The sequence below is a fragment of the Homo sapiens genome, chromosome 1, assembly GCF_000001405.40.
Source record: "Homo sapiens chromosome 1, GRCh38.p14 Primary Assembly".
NCBI lineage: Eukaryota > Metazoa > Chordata > Mammalia > Primates > Hominidae > Homo > Homo sapiens.
Window position 1 is genome coordinate 228,132,953 of NC_000001.11, and position 16,927 is coordinate 228,149,879.

The 16,927-nt window shown below is 55.2% G+C and overlaps 1 protein-coding gene and 1 pseudogene across 14 annotated transcripts, besides 6 other annotated features; one reads left to right on the forward strand and one right to left on the reverse strand.

Moving 5' to 3' along the window:
* Window positions 1,830–3,841, reverse strand: RPS28P3 (ribosomal protein S28 pseudogene 3; annotated as a pseudogene).
* Window positions 6,954–7,003: an enhancer, noted in NCBI's record as "active region_2691". NCBI's record gives its function as "activates an Ori minimal core promoter by ATAC-STARR-seq in GM12878 lymphoblastoid cells {active_cell/tissue: GM12878}" and the evidence as "EXISTENCE:reporter gene assay evidence [ECO:0000049][PMID:35858748]".
* Window positions 7,114–7,343: an enhancer, noted in NCBI's record as "active region_2692". NCBI's record gives its function as "activates an Ori minimal core promoter by ATAC-STARR-seq in GM12878 lymphoblastoid cells {active_cell/tissue: GM12878}" and the evidence as "EXISTENCE:reporter gene assay evidence [ECO:0000049][PMID:35858748]".
* Window positions 7,132–16,003, forward strand: GUK1 (guanylate kinase 1). Of its 14 annotated transcripts, XM_005273104.6 has the most exons (10): window positions 7,327–7,411; window positions 8,172–8,336; window positions 8,674–8,877; window positions 12,559–12,672; window positions 13,074–13,115; window positions 13,890–13,986; window positions 14,454–14,592; window positions 14,663–14,747; window positions 15,419–15,504; window positions 15,713–16,003. In XM_005273104.6, exons 3-10 carry the CDS (start codon window positions 8,682–8,684, stop codon window positions 15,743–15,745), a joined length of 792 nt encoding a protein of 263 aa, XP_005273161.1. In that variant the 5' UTR covers window positions 7,327–7,411; window positions 8,172–8,336; window positions 8,674–8,681; the 3' UTR covers window positions 15,746–16,003. The 14 variants fall into 14 exon arrangements, with proteins under 14 accessions (NP_001229768.1, XP_005273161.1, XP_047274644.1 ...); XM_047418688.1 differs by having other exon boundaries at window positions 7,327–8,336; XM_047418696.1 differs by having other exon boundaries at window positions 8,172–8,877; window positions 13,909–13,986.
* Window positions 7,354–7,913: a silencer, noted in NCBI's record as "silent region_1914". NCBI's record gives its function as "represses an Ori minimal core promoter by ATAC-STARR-seq in GM12878 lymphoblastoid cells {active_cell/tissue: GM12878}" and the evidence as "EXISTENCE:reporter gene assay evidence [ECO:0000049][PMID:35858748]".
* Window positions 10,935–11,461: an enhancer, noted in NCBI's record as "H3K4me1 hESC enhancer chr1:228331588-228332114 (GRCh37/hg19 assembly coordinates)". NCBI's record gives its function as "activates a minimal SCP1, AML or CMV promoter by ChIP-STARR-seq in naive H9 embryonic stem cells {active_cell/tissue: H9 hESC(naive)}" and the evidence as "EXISTENCE:reporter gene assay evidence [ECO:0000049][PMID:30033119]".
* Window positions 11,462–11,986: an enhancer, noted in NCBI's record as "H3K4me1 hESC enhancer chr1:228332115-228332639 (GRCh37/hg19 assembly coordinates)". NCBI's record gives its function as "activates a minimal SCP1, AML or CMV promoter by ChIP-STARR-seq in naive H9 embryonic stem cells {active_cell/tissue: H9 hESC(naive)}" and the evidence as "EXISTENCE:reporter gene assay evidence [ECO:0000049][PMID:30033119]".
* Window positions 11,498–11,678: a silencer, noted in NCBI's record as "fragment chr1:228332151-228332331 (GRCh37/hg19 assembly coordinates)". NCBI's record gives its function as "represses an EF-1alpha promoter that drives an FKBP-Casp9 reporter gene in an ReSE screen in HepG2 liver carcinoma cells {active_cell/tissue: HepG2}" and the evidence as "EXISTENCE:reporter gene assay evidence [ECO:0000049][PMID:32094911]".

The window sequence follows — 16,927 nt, forward strand, 5'->3', positions numbered from 1 at the left end:
ACCACCATGCCCAGCCTGGGTCTTTGATTATTTAAGTGAGTCTTCACAATGTTAAAATACCTAAGTTTTTGTTGACAACTCTGTAATGTATATTTGCCTTTTGAAGTATTTTAATTATTACTCTGGTTAAATCAATGATTGTTATTCCACAGTGACCTGAGATCCTATTTTAATCAAGTGTTTTAAACCTTTTTATATTTTGACAAATTTCCCAAAATCCAATTCTAAATTAAGTTTTGAGTCAAGCTAATTTTGGGATATTCCAGAAGGCCTCTGGAACATCCAAAAGAGATATATCAAACCAATTATTTTCATTTGGCATGTTAAATTATATGGGGGTCAGGCACAGTGGCTTGCACCTGTAATTCCAGCACTTTGAGAGGCCACAGTGGATGGATCTCTTGAGCTCAGGAGTTCAAGACCAGCCTAGGCAACATGGTGAAACCCCATCTCTACCAAAAAACAAAAAATTAGCCAGGCATTGTGGCACGCACCTGTGGTCCCAGCTACTGAGGTGGGAGGATCGCTTGAGCACGGGAGGTGGAGGTTGCAGTGAGCCAAGATCGCACCACTGTACTCTGTCACCCAGAGTACAGATTGGGTGGCACTGGGTGTCAGAGCCAGACTCTGTCTCAAAACAAAACAAAACTATATGGGAAGCATTGTCAAATAACTGATGCTAAGCCATCTTTGAATTATTTTTGTGTGGACATGTTATTAATATGTGTTTCATAAATTGTATAAAATTCGTAAAACTCTGGTATGTTAGCCATGATTTTGGTTATTTTGTTAAATCATTGTATGCCACAGAAATAATTAAATTTCCTTGTCAACTGAGACATTATTATTAGGCACTCTCACCAGATCTTTACCCATGGCCATTTAAAGTGTGGTTGTTCACAGTTAATTAGTTTATACTCATGCTTTTCTAAAAGTGTTTTGCAAGCAACTATAATCCTAAAGTGGTTGTGTCTTCAAGGAGATGCATGGAAACCTTGGTGCTTTGGGAAAAATTCTCTCAAATTGGGTTTTTTCCTTTGTTCTCACACTGCCATGACAATCAACACAGAAGACTTCTGTGACGAAAGGTGTAGGGTTTTTCCCCACACACCAGGCAGTGGACACCAGCGAGGTGTCCTCCAACTCAATTCTAACACTATCTACCTGGAGACAGTGTCAGATTCCACAGGCTCGGGGCTCAGTCCCCAAGACTGCCCCTGACACTCCCAGACACCAGTTGCAAGTCCAGGTCTTGGGAACGTCTGACCAACTGGCTTCAAGTTGGGGGTGCCACAACCCTCTCTTTGGGTTTTATTAATTTGCTAGAGTGGCTCACGGAACTCAGGGAAACGTGTTTTCTTGTTTTGTTTTGTTTTTTGTTTTTGTTTTTGTTTTGAGACAGTCTTGCTCCATTGCCCGGGCTGGAGTACAGTGGCATGATCTCAGCTCACTGCAACCTCCGCCTCCCGGGTTCAAGCATTTCTCCTGCTTCAGCCTCCTGAGTAGCTGGGATCACAGGCGCCCGCCACCATGCCCAGCTAGCTTTTGTATTTTTAGTAGAGACGAGGTTTTGCCATGTTGGCCAGGCTGGTCTTGAACGCCTGACCTGAGGTGATCTGCCTGCCTTGGCCTCCCAAAGTTCTGGGATTACAGGCTTGAGCCACCGTGCCCAGCCAATTTTTTTTTAACTTGAAACACAAATGCTTTATTTAAAGACACATCTCAATTCCTGCGTGGCAGGCCAAGAATAAAATAAAGGAGAACGCAGCACACCATTCCCACTGGTCAAGTGGTCGAACCCAACATCCAAGACCCAGCCAGCAGCCAAGCTCAGCGCAACCTCCCGACCTCTGACTCTGACTGCAACAGGGTGAGCACATCGCCCTCGCACACGGGGCCTTTTACATTGTGGATGATGGAGCGGCTCGCATCCTCCATAAATTCCATGCACACCTGCGACCACTGTCCTTTAGAGCCCATTCTGCCCAGAAGCTTGGTGACCCTGACCAGCTTGATAGGCTGCATGTGGCTGGTGTCCATGATGGCAGTGCGGCGGCAGTTGGGTGAAGATAATACTTATGTTTGCTGGTTTATTAAGAAGGGTATTTTTAAGGATACAAATCAACAGCCAGATGAAGAGACGCATAGGGCGAAGTCTGGAAGGGTCCTAAGCGCAGGAGCTTCTGTCCTCATGGAGTTGGGGTGCAACACCCTCCCAGCCTGTGGATGAGTTCTTCTTCACCTTTCTCTCAGCCTCCACATGTTCAGCTCTCTGGATGCCCCCCAAATCCTGTCCTGTGGGCCTTCTATACTTTATTGGTTGTCCATGATAGAAGCATGGACAACTGTGTCAAACACGATTGGATAAAAATAAAGTCTGATCTAAACCTAGCAGGACCTGTCCACGTCCTTCCTCCAGAGTATGGCGAAGGACCCTTTCTGGAATGAGGGTCTTTTGATCCACAATCAGATTAGAGTCCTGCCTTGGGCAAGTGAAAGAGAAGGTCAGAAATATTCTGTCTCCTGAGACCCAAAGCACCCAACATGCTTTGTAACAATGGTTCTGGGAACTATGAGCTAGGAACTGTGGACAACATCTCTATATCAGGACACCACAGATGGAAAAGACTCTGACAAGTACAGATTTCTGATCATTTTAAGATCATACCACTGGGCTGGGTAAGAATTTCTAGAACTCTAAGGGAAAAGCTAGACTCACCAAATTGCTAACCCAACATCAAGCAGGACAAAAATTAATCACACAAGACTAAATGGACTGATGAATTATGGGTTTCTATGTCTTTTTAGAATTCAAAAATATTGCTGGTTCTTTCGTTTTTCAGATTTAGGGAAACCTTTTCTTTTAGGCTATCTATAGCTTAAGGCAATTTGGTAACATACCTTTGTGAACAAAAATGGAGACATTGCTTTTTTCTCCCTACCTGATCCTTCCAGAATTTAGAAACTACTCATGAGGATTCTTATTTTTATGACAAAATAATTATTTGTATATGCTCAATAGAATCTGCTCTTGGCTGGGCATCTCAGCCTCCCAAAAGTGAGGGATTAATCCCAGCACTTTGGGAGGCTGAGATGGAGGGAAGATCACTTGAGGCTAGAAGGTTGAGGCTGTAGGGAGCTATTATTGCACCACTGTGCTCCAGCCTGGGCAACAGAGTGAGGCCCTGACAGAAGAAGAGGAAGAAAGAAGAGGAAGAAGGAGGAGGAGAATCTGCCCTCTTTATAACAGGACACAATTGGAAATATTGGTTATATTATGACTGGGATATCGAAATTGAGACTGTAGATACAGACTTTGCCTGCAGTACTTACAGACGCATTCTATCTACACTGGCTTCCTAGCATCGAAAGATTTTTAAAAGTTCATTTTGAGATTCCTGATCTAAAGTTCCACCCAAGCAAACTTAAAAGAGCCTATGTGGTTGATGCTATTCTCACTGAACTTACCTAAATAAGCAGGGCAAGTTTGATGAGGCTAAACATTTTGCAAACAAATTAGTCTTACTCTGATTATCTCTGGTAGAAATGAGGGGCAACTGTAAAGAGAAAATGTATGTTTCAGAAGAAAGAACATTATAGTACACTTGTTCTTAGATTGTAGCCTTGTTTGTTGTTCTAGAGTTTTTATTATCTACCTGCAGAATGGACTGGACCCTGAATTCTTCTTGTTTCCTCCAACATATGTTGACAACTCTCCACCTTAAGAACAAAGCTACTAAGCTGGACAACTTGATGTAAGCATCAAGGGACAAGTCTCATGCCAACGTGTGGACCATACAGAGTTCACCAAACCATCTGTTGTCATAATCAGAGACAGTCATATTACAAATCAGGACCAGAAGTTGACCATTTTACATTGTGAAGCTTTTCCCCAGATATCCAAAGAAGACTAGCCTCTTGCCCCTCTCAATTTTTCCTTGCTCATGCCTATCTCTTTCACTTGGCAGGCTAATGCTGTAGTTAGAATTTCACACCAGTAGCTTCTGTGGGTTACCTGATAAATATATCGGGTCTGTCAGGCCAGACTCTCATCTTTATGACCCAACAGATCCTTTAGTTTACTTAGTGGGTAAGTTTGGCAACATCCCTGATGCAACTGTTTGGCATCAAAGCAAACCAGACCCACTTCTTCTCACTCCCTGCCTTAATTTTACATAGATTACCTACTAGCTGAACAGGAAGGGGTCTGTGTGGTTTCTGACACATCTTGTTGCACATGGGTAAATACATCAGGTATTGTAGACTCAGCTGCAAAAAATTAACAAACAGGCTACTTGGTTAAAATGGGTAGACTCCCCATCTGGCTTATTGTTTGATCTATTCAGTTTTCGTTGGTTGGGTTCACAGGGACTCTGGCTAAGGAACATACTCCAAACCCTTGGTATTATCCTCCTGACAGTCACAATAGTAGTCTCCCTGGTGTGTTGTATCCTTTCAAATGTTTTAAATGTTTGCATGTGACCATCCATTGAACATCAAATGGTCCCTCTTCAGCTGGAATGACACAAACTCAAAGAAATGCATGATCATGGCCAGGCATGGTGGCTCACGCCTGCAATCCCAGCACTTTGGGAGGCCAAGGCGGGCGGATCATGTGGTCAGAAGTTTGAGACCAGCCTGGCCAATATGGTGAAACTCCATCTCTACTAAAAATACAAAAATTAGCTGGGCATGGTGGTGGGCACCTGTAATCCCAGCTACTCAGGAGGCTGAGGCAGGAGAATTGTTTGAACCCAGGAGGTGGAGGTCGCAGTGAGCTGAGATTGTGCTATTGCACTGGGCGACAGGGCGAGACTCCGTCTCAAAAAAAAAAAGAAAGAAAGAAAAGAAAAGCATGATCATGAAGACACTGTAACCTATCAATGACATGTTGAGACCAGAAACCCAAACTGATAGTAACTGAGAGAGGCACTTTTAAGTTTTGGTCAAGCTAGGTGAGAGCCTGATCAAAATGGGTAAAAATTGTTTTTAAAAAATCATGGGAGGCCATTGTTTTGGACCGAGCTCTTGCACTAGGTCCCAATAGACCAGGCCAAACCAAAATTAAATCACTTATGTTAAATACTACATAAGAAACTAAATCCCAAAACAGATTAGTTTTTCCTCAGTTGGCATAATAAGGAAGTCCCTTCTTCTCTCTAACCCTTACAAAAGAGTAACCTGAAGTAAGCTAAGGTTATCAATCTGTTATTTTTCTATCTTGTTTCCTCGTTCTCCTCACCTTACAAAACCCATGGTTCTGCTATCGCCCAGGCAGGGGCTTTTTTTTTTTTTTTTTTTTTTTTTGAGATGGTCGCGCTCTGTCGCCCAAGCTGGAGTGCAGTGGCGCATCTCAGCTCACTGCAAGCTCCACCTCCCGGGTCCACGCCATTCTCCTGCCTCAGCCTCCTGCGTAGCTGGGACTACAGGTGCCCGCCACCACACCTGGCTAATTCAGGCAGGGGCTTTTATTCTATTTTGTAGAATGAAGGCTGCCTCAATTCATGAATCACGAATAAAAGCCAGCGAGACCTATGAATACATATGACATAATTTTGCCTCTGACAGTGAACTTCCCCTTTTTTTGCCTAAAAAGCTTCTCCTTGCCCACCTCCCCCAATGCAGCACCTATGGTATGACATAGCACATGTATTCCAGGTTACAATCCCTTGTCCAACAAACTGTTTTATTATTAGTATTTAAAAAAAATAGAGACAAGGCTTTGCCATGTTGCCCAGGCTGGTCTCCAACTCCGGGGCAAGTGATCCATCCGCCTTGGCCTCCAAAAGTGCTGGGACTGCAGGCATGAGCCATGGTGCCCAGCCCCAACACATTTTTTTGAAGTTGTATTTTTTAAAGTTTTACTTTTTTTCTTGCTCTCCTGCAGTTCACATTCAATACTTTTTTTTTTTTTTTTTGAGACGGAGTCTCATTCTGTCGTCTAGGCTGGAGTGCCGTGGCTTGATCTCGGCTCACTGCAACCTCCACCTCCCAGGTTCAAGTGATCCTCCTGCCTCAGCCACCCCAGTAGCTGGAATTACAGGGGCCCACGACCACACCCAGCTGATTTTGTATTTTTAGTAGAGACAGAGTTTCACCATTTTGGCCAGGCTAGTCCCAAACTCCTGGCCTCAGGTGATCTGCCTGCCTCGGACTCCCAAAGTGCTGGCATTACAGGTGTGAGCCACTGCACCCAGCCTTCAATAAATCTTTTTTAAAAATTTAAAATAATTTTTAGAAATAGAGTCCCGTGGCCAGGTGCAGTGGCTCACGCCTGTAATCCCAGCACTTTGGGAGGCCAAGGTTGGTGGATTACCTGAGGTTAGGAGTTCAAGACCAGCCTGGCCAACATGGTGAAACCCTGTCTCTACTAAAAATACAAAAATTAGCTGGGCGTGGTGGCGGGCGCCTGTAATCCCAGCTACTCGGGAGGCTGAGGCAGGAGAATCGCTTGAACCTAGGAGGCCCAGGTTGCAGTGAGCAGAGATGGCGTCACTGAACTCCAGCCTGGGTGACAAGAGCGAAACTCCGTCTCAAAAAATAAAAAAAGAAAGAAATAGGGTCTCGCTCTGTCACACAGACTGGAGTGCAGTGACACGAACACCGCTCACTGCAGCCTCGACTGCCCAGGCTCAAGCGACCGTCCCACGTCAGCCTCCCGAGTAGCAAGGACTACAGGCACAAAAAAGTTTTTAAATTTTTTGGTACAGAAGGGGTTTCCCTATGATCCCCAGGCTGGTCTCCAATTCCTGGCCTCAAGCGGTCCTCCCGGCTCGGACTCCCAAAGAGCTGGGATCACAGACGTGAACCACGCGCCCGGCCACATTCCCCAATTAATGGTTTTTGGAGAGTGGCCGGTTTGGAACGGGCTAGCGGAGTCGTTCGTTAGTTAGGTCCCTGCAGTGTAGATGGAGGACGGAAACGGCGCTGTGACATAAGCGGGAGGAGGCGGGCTGAGGCAGCGCTGTGACGTAGCAGATGAAAGCCGGGCCCGCGCTGCACTGAGGTACTTCTCTGAGTGACAAGCGGGACAAGTACGCCGTGGGCGGGGCCGGCGGGTCGTGATGTTAGTTCGCGCTGTGTGGAGGCGGGCCGGCGTGGCGCTGTGACGCAGCGGGAGAAGACGGGCTGGGAGGGCGCTGTGCTGAACGCCCCTGCGGTCGCGACAGGCCAGCGCAGGTGGAGGCGGGGCTAGCGAGGCACTGAGGTAAGTACTTCCCTAAGGGGCGGGGAAGAACGAGTGAGACATGGGCGGGGCAGTCGCCTCATGACGTCAGTCTCGCGCGCGGGCGGAGGTGGGCCGGTGCGGCGCTGTCACGTAGGTTCAGTGGGCGGAAGAGGTGGCCCCGGATGCTGCGGCGCCCGCTGGCCGGGCTGGCTGCGGCCGCCCTGGGCCGGGCCCCACCGGACGGTGAGTACGACAAGCGCGATCGCGAGGGTGACTCGGGTCGAGGCGGCAGCGGTCCCTGCGCTTTGCGGTCGCCCAGTCCACGCCGCCTCCGGATCTCCTCCTAGCCGAGACGCCCTGTGCCGCATTCAACTGTGGGCCCTGAGAACGGGGGAGCTCTGGAGGGCGGACGGGCTGGCAACGCAGCGGAGCCCGGGTCCCGGAGGGCGGGGCGCTCCTCAGGAGCTGGGCAGGCCGGCAGTTATCGCAGTGTCGAGCTGCTCCCCGGGCGTATAGGAGCGCTCGGTGTCTTCCCGACACCTGGGCGCGCCGCCAAAGAGAGCAGCTGGGAGTCCCTACCGCTGGCCCGGCGCGGTGTGCGCTCCGGTTCCCACCTCACCCTGCAAGCCTTGGGGTCCTGGGCGGATGGAGCCGGCTATTCCGGGGCTCCCAGGATTCTGCCTACTCCGCGGCACGGCGCAGAGACGGGGACTTGGGGAAACAGCAGGCCTTCCCGACGCATGGGTGTGGCATTTGGGGTTCGGATTCTCCAAAGCCAGAGTCCGGGTTGGGGTTCTTGAAGCTGCCCTGCTGCCATTCTTGAGCGTCGCCTTAGAAGTATGCCCCAGTAAGGACTGGTGTGGGAAGCAGGTGCCTCAAAGTTGATTTTGACCCTGCGTGTGGTGGGCCTCGGTTTCGTCTTTGCATGAAAGAGGTCGGTCCTGAGGCCCCGGGCTGGGTCCTGCTCTGCTGTCTTTGGGCTCATGGCCCCTTCCTGTCTCAGGCTTGCTCTGCTCTTTACCTGGGGTTGCTGTCGAGGACCCTGTGCAAGACTCGGCCGGTTTTTCTTTCTCCCTGATGGACAGACCCAAACATAGCCGCGCAGCATCGTGAAGGGCTGGGGCCTTCACTCCTCTGTGGCTCTGGAAGAGCCCGATTTCCTCAGGAGGTAAAGGAATGTTCCTGTCCCCCCCGGGGAAAGAAAGTGAAAATGAAAGCGCCCTGGCTGCTCCTGGTGTGGTCCCATTTAAAACGAGGTTGCTGAAGGCCAGGATGCGTGCTACCCGGATGTGTGCCCAGAAACCCTGCAGCCAAGAGCAGCCGCCTGGACCACCAGCCTCCCCTTCATCCACCTGGCCCAGCCCAGAGCCCAGGCCCACGTCTGGTGGTTTGTGTCTTACGAGAGGCCAGGCGGGGGCTGAATTCTCTCGGTTCTCAGAAGGTCAAGCCCTCTGTTAGCATCTCCTCGAACAGTGGGCCGGGGGCAAGGTGGTGACTCTGTTCAGTCCTTAGGATGGCTGGAAGCCAGAAGGAGGAGATTATGCCGCCACAGCAGGGAGTGCCTTTCCAGGAAAGCGGCTGCTGGGGCAGCATGGGAGCCCAGTCCAGGGAGCGTTCTGGCAGAGACCATTCCGGAACATGGATCTGCGCCGGCGGCTCCCAGGAGACCTTCCATCTCGGAGCTCCTGTGGAGACCACGTGCCTGGCAGGTCCTTACAGTTGTGGGTTGTGTGGCTTCTTGCCAGGCAGCTGATTGGAGTTTGCGACTGTGGGTTGGTGAGAGTGGAGAGCACAGAATGTTTGCTGGAATGCTTCCCTCTGCCCACAGGAAGACACCTTTGGCGCATGTGTTCTGGTCAGGGCAAAGGCTCCGTGGTTTCCACCGCAAGATTGCAGGAGCCTTGAGGCCTGGGCCACAGTTTTCTCCCTTGGGTGTGCTCCATGGAAGGTGGCTTTGGTGACCGCCCTGCCACTGGTCTCTCCCCAGGCAGGCAGGCAGCCTGTGCCTCCGCCCTGTCTCCAGCGGTGGTGGTGTGGCTGTGCTTCTGCAAGGCCCGCATCCACTCACTGTCTGCCCTCTGCACTCTCTGGCTGGCCAGGGCCCCCAGTAGTCTGCTCATTGTGCCCTCACGCTTGGGCAGAGCCGAACTCAGGGGACCCAGGAAGAGCGGAGTGTTGGCCCGTCCAGAGTTCTTGGCAATTGGTGTGTCATGTGTGCCTCGTGCCCTGTGCTGGGCGAGAGTGGGCACAGCTGCGCAGACAACGCCCTTGGCGAGGCTGGAGCCTGGACCCCTGCCTGGCAGCAGCTGGGTGAACTGGTGTCTTCTGCCTGCGGGCCCAGCCTCACCTCAATAGCTTACTGCTCCCTCAGGAGGGAGGAGGGGAGGCCTGGGAGCCTGGGCTTGGCGGGGTAAGGGTGGTGCAGGGGCAACACCTGTGGAGGAAACAGGCGGGGTTGGGGCCCACCAGCGTCTGCTGTCTGCTCTGTGCTGGGTTGCATCTGTTGGTGTCTGATCGTTGTCAGGGCCCTGTGGTGAAGAGACACACCTGCCACTTGCTGCTTGCGAGGAAAGGGGGAGATCCCCAACCCAGGAGCCAGAGGTGGGACTCCAGCACCCCCCATTCCTGGGAGTTGGAAGTGAGGCACGAGCTCCCCAATTCCTGGGCATCGGGGATGGGGTTTGGGGCCGAGGAGGGGATGGAGACCAGGGTCTTGTGGTAGTTTGGTGGGATCCTCAGAAGGTGTGGCTCTCCCCCTTCTGAGGACGCAAAAACTCCCAGAGTTTTTGGCGATTGATGTGCCACGTGTGCCTTGTGCCCTGTGCTGGGCGAGTGTAGGCACAGCTGTGCAGACGACGCCCTTGGCAAGGCTGGAGCCTGGACCCCTGCCTGGCAGCAGCTGGGCGAACTGGTGTCTTCTGCCTGTGGGCCCAGCTTCACTTCACTAGCTTAGCGCTCCCTCAGGAGGGAGGAGGGGAGGCCTGGTCAGTGGAGGTCACCACTGTGTTTCCTTCTGTGTGGGTTTATAGTCACGTAGCATCTAGGTTCAGACCCGAAGAGCTTGGAGCCAGGGGCTGGGGGGAACAGGGCAGGACCGGCCTTGGGGCAGCCCTGTCAGGCCCACCAGTGCCATGCTGGTTGTGGGTTGGCAGGGCAGAGTGACCTTAAGAAGGGCCAGCTCAGTGGAGCAACAGGACAGAAGCTCACATGGGGTCCAGCCCACAGGACCATTTGAGTAGCTCTCCCATATCGGGTCCTTCGAAGCACATGATTTAGCTTTACTTTTTCTCCTTCGTATTAGAAAAGTCACCATAATACCATCAAGTCATAATTTCTGTGATCTCAGTGCTTCAAGTAGGTGTGTAGCAATTGCTGGATGTGTCCTGAGAACTGTACCCCTTCCACCCTGGCGAGAAGCAGGGGCCAGAAATTCACACAAGTGGCATGGCTCATTGATTGTGGGAGACTCTGGGGGGCTCCTAGCTAGTGCATTATGGGAACCAGGCTGTGGAGGTTGCAGGGCTCGCTGGCTGGGAGAAGCTGAATGGATAAAGAACCCTGGCCACTGCAGTGCGTGCTGATGGTTGGCTGGCACGTAGAGGAGGTGGCAGGGCTGGGTGAGCAGCAGGAGCCAGGTTAGTGGGGAGGCCCGAGCTAAGCGCAGGGGCAAATTCTGCGGGTGGGAGAGCCAGGAGGGCATGGGGTGCATGGTGAGATGAAAACGATGTGTGCTTGTGACAAAAAGCCCAGAAGAGGCAGTAAGGAGGGAGGAGTCTATCCCTTATGGAGAGCACATGGACTTCTGGGTGGGTGTCCTGCAGTTCCCTTCCTCTTGAGTCTTTTTAACTGGGGGTCCGGTGTGTTTGTGATCAATGACATGTATGCGTGTGCATGTGTACCTTTGCAGGTACACATGTGTGGTGTGTGTGCATTTGCTTGGTGTGCGTGCATTTGTGTGTGTGTTTGTGTGTGCATGCATGTGTGTGTGTTTGTGGTAGGTTTGTGCACACATCCTGCATACCTTTGTGCCTGGGAGTGGCATGTGTGTGGTGGGTGTCGCTGTGCATGATGGAGTTGCAGCCGTGGTGCATTTGTGAGATTACCTCGGTGGCCTAAATTGGGGATTAGGAGGGCATCCTCAGGTCCTTCCCACTGTCTGCTCGTCTGCCCACAGGCGGCTGTGCCCTAAACAGGAGGAGGCCATTCACGCCTCGCCTGAGTTGTGTCCAAGGTGTGCGTGTGGCCAGGGGTCCATCCGCTTCCCTCTAGCCCAGCCCCTGAACACAGCTGCAGTGCACGGCCCCACTCCTCAGCTCTGCTCCCCATCCCAACTCGAAGACGCTGCCCTGGCCCTGTGTGTGCAGCTCATGTGGACTGGGAGGGCAGGGCAGGTGCAGGTCTTGGGGCAAGAGCTGGAGCTGTCTTTTCCTTCCTGCACAGCCGCAGAGCAGGTGGATGGGGCTGCTTCCCTGCAAGGGCCCAGGGCCAGGCCCCCTGGGGATTTATTCGTGGCTTAGAAGGGTGGGGCCAGAAGCAGGCGTAGTGGGGATTAGGGACTCAGCACCCCCAGCTCTCAGTCCAGCAGACAGACCCACCCCAGGCTGACTACAGAGGCTGCACCTCAGCAAACAGGTAGGCCCTGTTCTTGGGGAGGATTCCCACCAGGCAAAGGCCAGCTCCCGGGCCCTCACCTGCCACGTGTCCAAGCTAGGATCCTGTTTGCCTTTCCCTTGGGGGCTGGGAGGGAGGCCTCCAACCCCCTCTGGCATTACCAGCATCACAGATAGGAGTCCCAAGTCCTATGAGAAGTTCCTGGAATAGGTGTAGATTCAGTAGATCTTTACAAGACCATATCTGCAGGGCAAGGTACCAGAGGACAGAGGCGGGGACAGGGACACTTCCATTCCAGACCTAGCAGCCCAGCACTCAGCACCATGCATGGGAGCAAATGGCTGGACTCCTGGGTGGGGTGGGGGTCTCAGAGCAGGCTCCCAGAGGGCTTGGAGGTGACTCCACCAGGTGGGGACGGCAGCTCCCAGGTAGGGTGTCATCAGAGTAGACAGCATTGCTTGCTAGGGACCCCTGGGGAGGCTGACAGGGTCAGTGGGTTTCAGTTGGGGGGCTCCCCTGCTGAGAACCCAGTAAAGCCGGCCTTCCATTCGTCTCCCGTGTGCCCAGAGCCTGGTCTGAGGGCCGCCCTGTGCATGCCGGCCCTTCCAACGTGGCAGAGCTCAGGGGGAAGAACACCCAGGCTCTCAGGAGACTCTCAGGCCAATGTCTCCATCCCTGGGTCAGCCCTTTCCTGCCATGAATTCAGGAAGGCAGAGGCAGCTCAGCAGATGGGGACTAGAGGCCGCACTGCTATCCACAGCCTCTCTTCTCACCCCCAGGCATGTCGGGCCCCAGGCCTGTGGTGCTGAGCGGGCCTTCGGGAGCTGGGAAGAGCACCCTGCTGAAGAGGCTGCTCCAGGAGCACAGCGGCATCTTTGGCTTCAGCGTGTCCCGTGAGTCCAGGGCTCTCGTGGAGGGGTGCGTAGACCTCAAGGCTGCTGAGTAGTCCTAGCACCGTGAGCAGGCCAGGAGCCCAAACCCAACAGGCACACCCACCCTGCAGACTGTCCGAACTCTTGCACACTCCCCCCCACACAGAACCTGAGGTTATCACACTCCTGCTGTCCTGCGTGCCTGTGTCTCCCTTCCCTGGGTCTGTTGAGTACTGATAACTGGGCCACAGTGTTTCTTTCTGGGAGAACCCTCGCCTTGTAGGCTCCTGCGCCTTCCCAGTGGTGTGCTTCACTGGCTGCCTGCATCCTGGGGCTCAAGTGCTGTCGGGACTGCAAGGGAAACGCTGGGTGGGGCATTGGGCTCCGAGCAGCCCCCGATGGGTGACAGGTCTCTCTGCTAGATACCACGAGGAACCCGAGGCCCGGCGAGGAGAACGGCAAAGGTGAGTGGGGTGGGGCCCTATGGCTGGAGCACCCCCAGTGTGGGCAGGGCTGCTGGGCCCTGCAGCTGTGTTGGCTGTGCTGCCCGTCTCCTGCCCCCATCAATCCCTAATCTGTGAGATGGGTCCTTGCCTCCAAGGGCCGGTGAACTCAATCAGGGTGTCAGCGCCACAGCGTGGTGTCGCCTTCCTTGGGTACAGTGTGAGAGGCCGGCCAAGGCCTGGGGCTGTCTTCCTCCCACCTTGGAGGCGGCCACAGTGCTGCTGTCCCCAGCCCTGTCCTGGACTCGGCACTTATCAGCACTTTTGAGCTGTCTTCTGGAGTCCTGGTAAAAAGGGCTACTCTGCCTGCCTGATTCAAGACAAGGGACCCCCTTCCCAACAGCACCCCCGCCCCTTGCCGTGCAACCCAGTGGTCTCCAGTCACCCCACCACATCGTCCCCTCTGTAACCTGACGGTCTCCAGTTCCCCCACCACCTTCCCCCAGAACCTGTTGGTCTCCAGTCCCCACCCCATCACCACCAACTCCCAACTCCCCACTGGAACCCAGCAGTCTCGTATCTCCATCAGTGAGGACAGTGTGAGAAATGGTGTCTGGCTCAGGCACTTGGCAGCACTTGAGGGGTCCTCAGATGTCTCCTGCCCAGCAAGGATCTGACTAAAGCAGTCGTGGGTGTGGGAGGGGCCTGCAGGCATGCCTGGGTTGGGGGCAGCTGGCCCTGGGCACCCTGGTGCAGGTCCAGTCTGCCCTCTGGATGGCCCCTCCTCTTCCCCAGATTACTACTTTGTAACCAGGGAGGTGATGCAGCGTGACATAGCAGCCGGCGACTTCATCGAGCATGCCGAGTTCTCGGGGAACCTGTATGGCACGAGGTGGGCCATGCGTGGGTGTGGGTGGGCTCCCAGGGTTGCTGTTGGCAACAGGGATCCAGGTAGTGCCTGCTGCCTGCCCGCCATCCACACCACCCACCCCATGGTTATGAATGTGGCCAGGTTGTGGCCCAGGGCCAGGCTCCCACGTCTGTGGCCCACAGTGGCTCTTTTCATGAGGCTGCTGGGCCCGGTCCTGCCACCGTGCATTGTCCTGGCAGGGTGAAGGGTGCACAGGACACCTCATGCTCACTACAGGCACCTTGGGGAGTGGGTGGCCTCTGTTCCCTGTAGGCGGGGCAGGGCGTGGGGGTAGCAGGTTTGAGATGCTGTCGGGTGCTGGGTCCAGGCCAGGCCTAGGCTCAGCTGTGGGAGGAGAACGCTGGGCCCGGGAGGGCCTGGGTGTCCCTGAAGCTCCTGTAGGCCTCAGAGAGCCCTGGCACCCCTGCTGACCTGGCACCTCTCCCCAGCAAGGTGGCGGTGCAGGCCGTGCAGGCCATGAACCGCATCTGTGTGCTGGACGTGGACCTGCAGGGTGTGCGGAACATCAAGGCCACCGATCTGCGGCCCATCTACATCTCTGTGCAGCCGCCTTCACTGCACGTGCTGGTGTGTGCTGGGCAGGGTTGGGGGCTGGGGGCCAGGGCATGCCAGGCTCTGATTGCCACCCCCTTTTTAGGAGCAGCGGCTGCGGCAGCGCAACACTGAAACCGAGGAGAGCCTGGTGAAGCGGCTGGCTGCTGCCCAGGCCGACATGGAGAGCAGTGAGTGTGCCGTGGGATCACCAGGGAATGCCAGGAGGGGAGTCAGGGTTCTGAGGTCTGTGGCACCAGGGACCCTGTGGGTCCCCAGACCTCCTGACACCTGGAGTCCCTGTGAGGGTCCTCAGACCTCTCAACTACCTCCCAACACCTAGAGTCCCCGTGAGGGTCCCCAGAACCCACCCCCAGTCACCAAGGGTCTCATTGAGGGTCCTCAGATTTCCCTCTGTTACCCAGAGTCTCCGTGAGGGCCCCCAGACCCCCCATCGCCCAGGGTCCCATGAGATGTCCCCAACCTTCTAGCCCCGGGGGTGTCATGTGCATCCTCTTACAGCTGTTGCCTCTTCTCTGGGTCTGACTGCAGCCCACAAGAAGAGGGCATTTAATGTTCTGCTGTGTGTGTAGAGGATAGTGTAGCCCCTAACCAGAGTCCTGATGGGTGCTGGTGTCCAGACCCAAGTTCTGGGGCTCCAGAGAGAGCAGGAGTGGTGCCTGAGGACTGAGGCCCAGGGGGCGGCCCTTCCCTACCCTGCACAGGCCCGGCTGGGCTGGAAAGCTGTCCCACAGCCGCAGTGAGGACAGCCGCAGGCCAGTGGGCTGCTCTGGGGGTCGTGTGGGACCTGGGGTGGGGCTGCATGGGCTCACTGTGCCCTGACCCCAGGCCCCACCCACAGGCAAGGAGCCCGGCCTGTTTGATGTGGTCATCATTAACGACAGCCTGGACCAGGCCTACGCAGAGCTGAAGGAGGCGCTCTCTGAGGTGGGCCCATCCTTGTGCCTACCTGGGCAAGGCCCAAGGGGAGGCCTGGGGGCCAGGCCTTTGTTGTCCATGAGGCCACTGAGGTTAGATGGGACAGTCCTACCCAAGCACTGGCATGAGACACCGAGGTCCACGGTGGAGGGAGAGCAGGAAGCCCAGCCCTTCCTGGATACCAGCCCTCCCAACTCCCTTTCTTCCTCACTGGCAGGAAATCAAGAAAGCTCAAAGGACCGGCGCCTGAGGCTTGCTGTCTGTTCTCGGCACCCCGGGCCCATACAGGACCAGGGCAGCAGCATTGAGCCACCCCCTTGGCAGGCGATACGGCAGCTCTGTGCCCTTGGCCAGCATGTGGAGTGGAGGAGATGCTGCCCCTGTGGTTGGAACATCCTGGGGTGACCCCCGACCCAGCCTCGCTGGGCTGTCCCCTGTCCCTATCTCTCACTCTGGACCCAGGGCTGACATCCTAATAAAATAACTGTTGGATTAGAAACTCCATAAATGAGTGGAATGTGGCCCCAAGGTTGGTGGGGCCCCATCATCCCGATCGGGCCCTGAGCTCCGGCAGCCCACCCTAACCACCAGCCCCAAGGAGGGCCACAAGATGGCCTCTGCCTAGGCATCTGCTGCCTGCCGGCTCGTGGCTGCTGCCCCAGGGCAGCATGATGCTTGACTGGCAGGCAGGGAAGGTGGCAGGGCTGGTCCCAACCCACCTGGCAGGCTGGCAAGTGGGGAGCAGGAAGCGGCTGCATGGGGCAGCCTGAGGCTGCAGGGGTGGGCCCTGAGGGCTGCCTCTTGGTGCCCGACCCTGTGGGTCTGGCATGGGCCAGAGGTTCCAGGAGAGGCCCCTGAGCTCTGGCAGCTGGAGGTTCTAGATCTCGAGGTCTAAGGGGTTCCCTGAGGGAGATGCCCCTCCCCTAGCTGCCCCAGGGGCTGTGTGTGGTGTGTGAGGAGCCTCCTCTGCTCAGGCTGCCTCCCTCCTTCCCCAGTGCTCCCCCAGCTTGCCTGTCTAAGGCAGCACAGGGCCGTGCTGCCAGCCACCCCTAGGGTCAGCCCCAGCCCTGTTCTGAGCCTAGGTGAGGTGCCTCTGGGGTGGGGTGTAGACAGATGGGTGGGAGAGAAGGAGGCAGGCAGGGTGCCCGGCCGGAAATGGGGGCGGGGAGAAGAGTCCCCGCCCAGAGCCCAGACTGCCGGAGGATACAGGCCAGAGCCGCCTGGACTGGGCGGCTGGGCAGGGGAGGGGAGGGGAGGGCCCAGGCAGCCCCCGGTCGCTTGCTCCAGGGCAGGTGGACTGAGCTTCGGAGGCTGGGGCTGGCCTCTGACCTGCTTGGGCTTGGAGAGCCCTGCCCGCTGCCCTGCCCCCCAGGACAATCAGGGATTCAGACCCTGAGGCCGAGGGGGGAACAATGGGGCCCTTGAGGGCCCC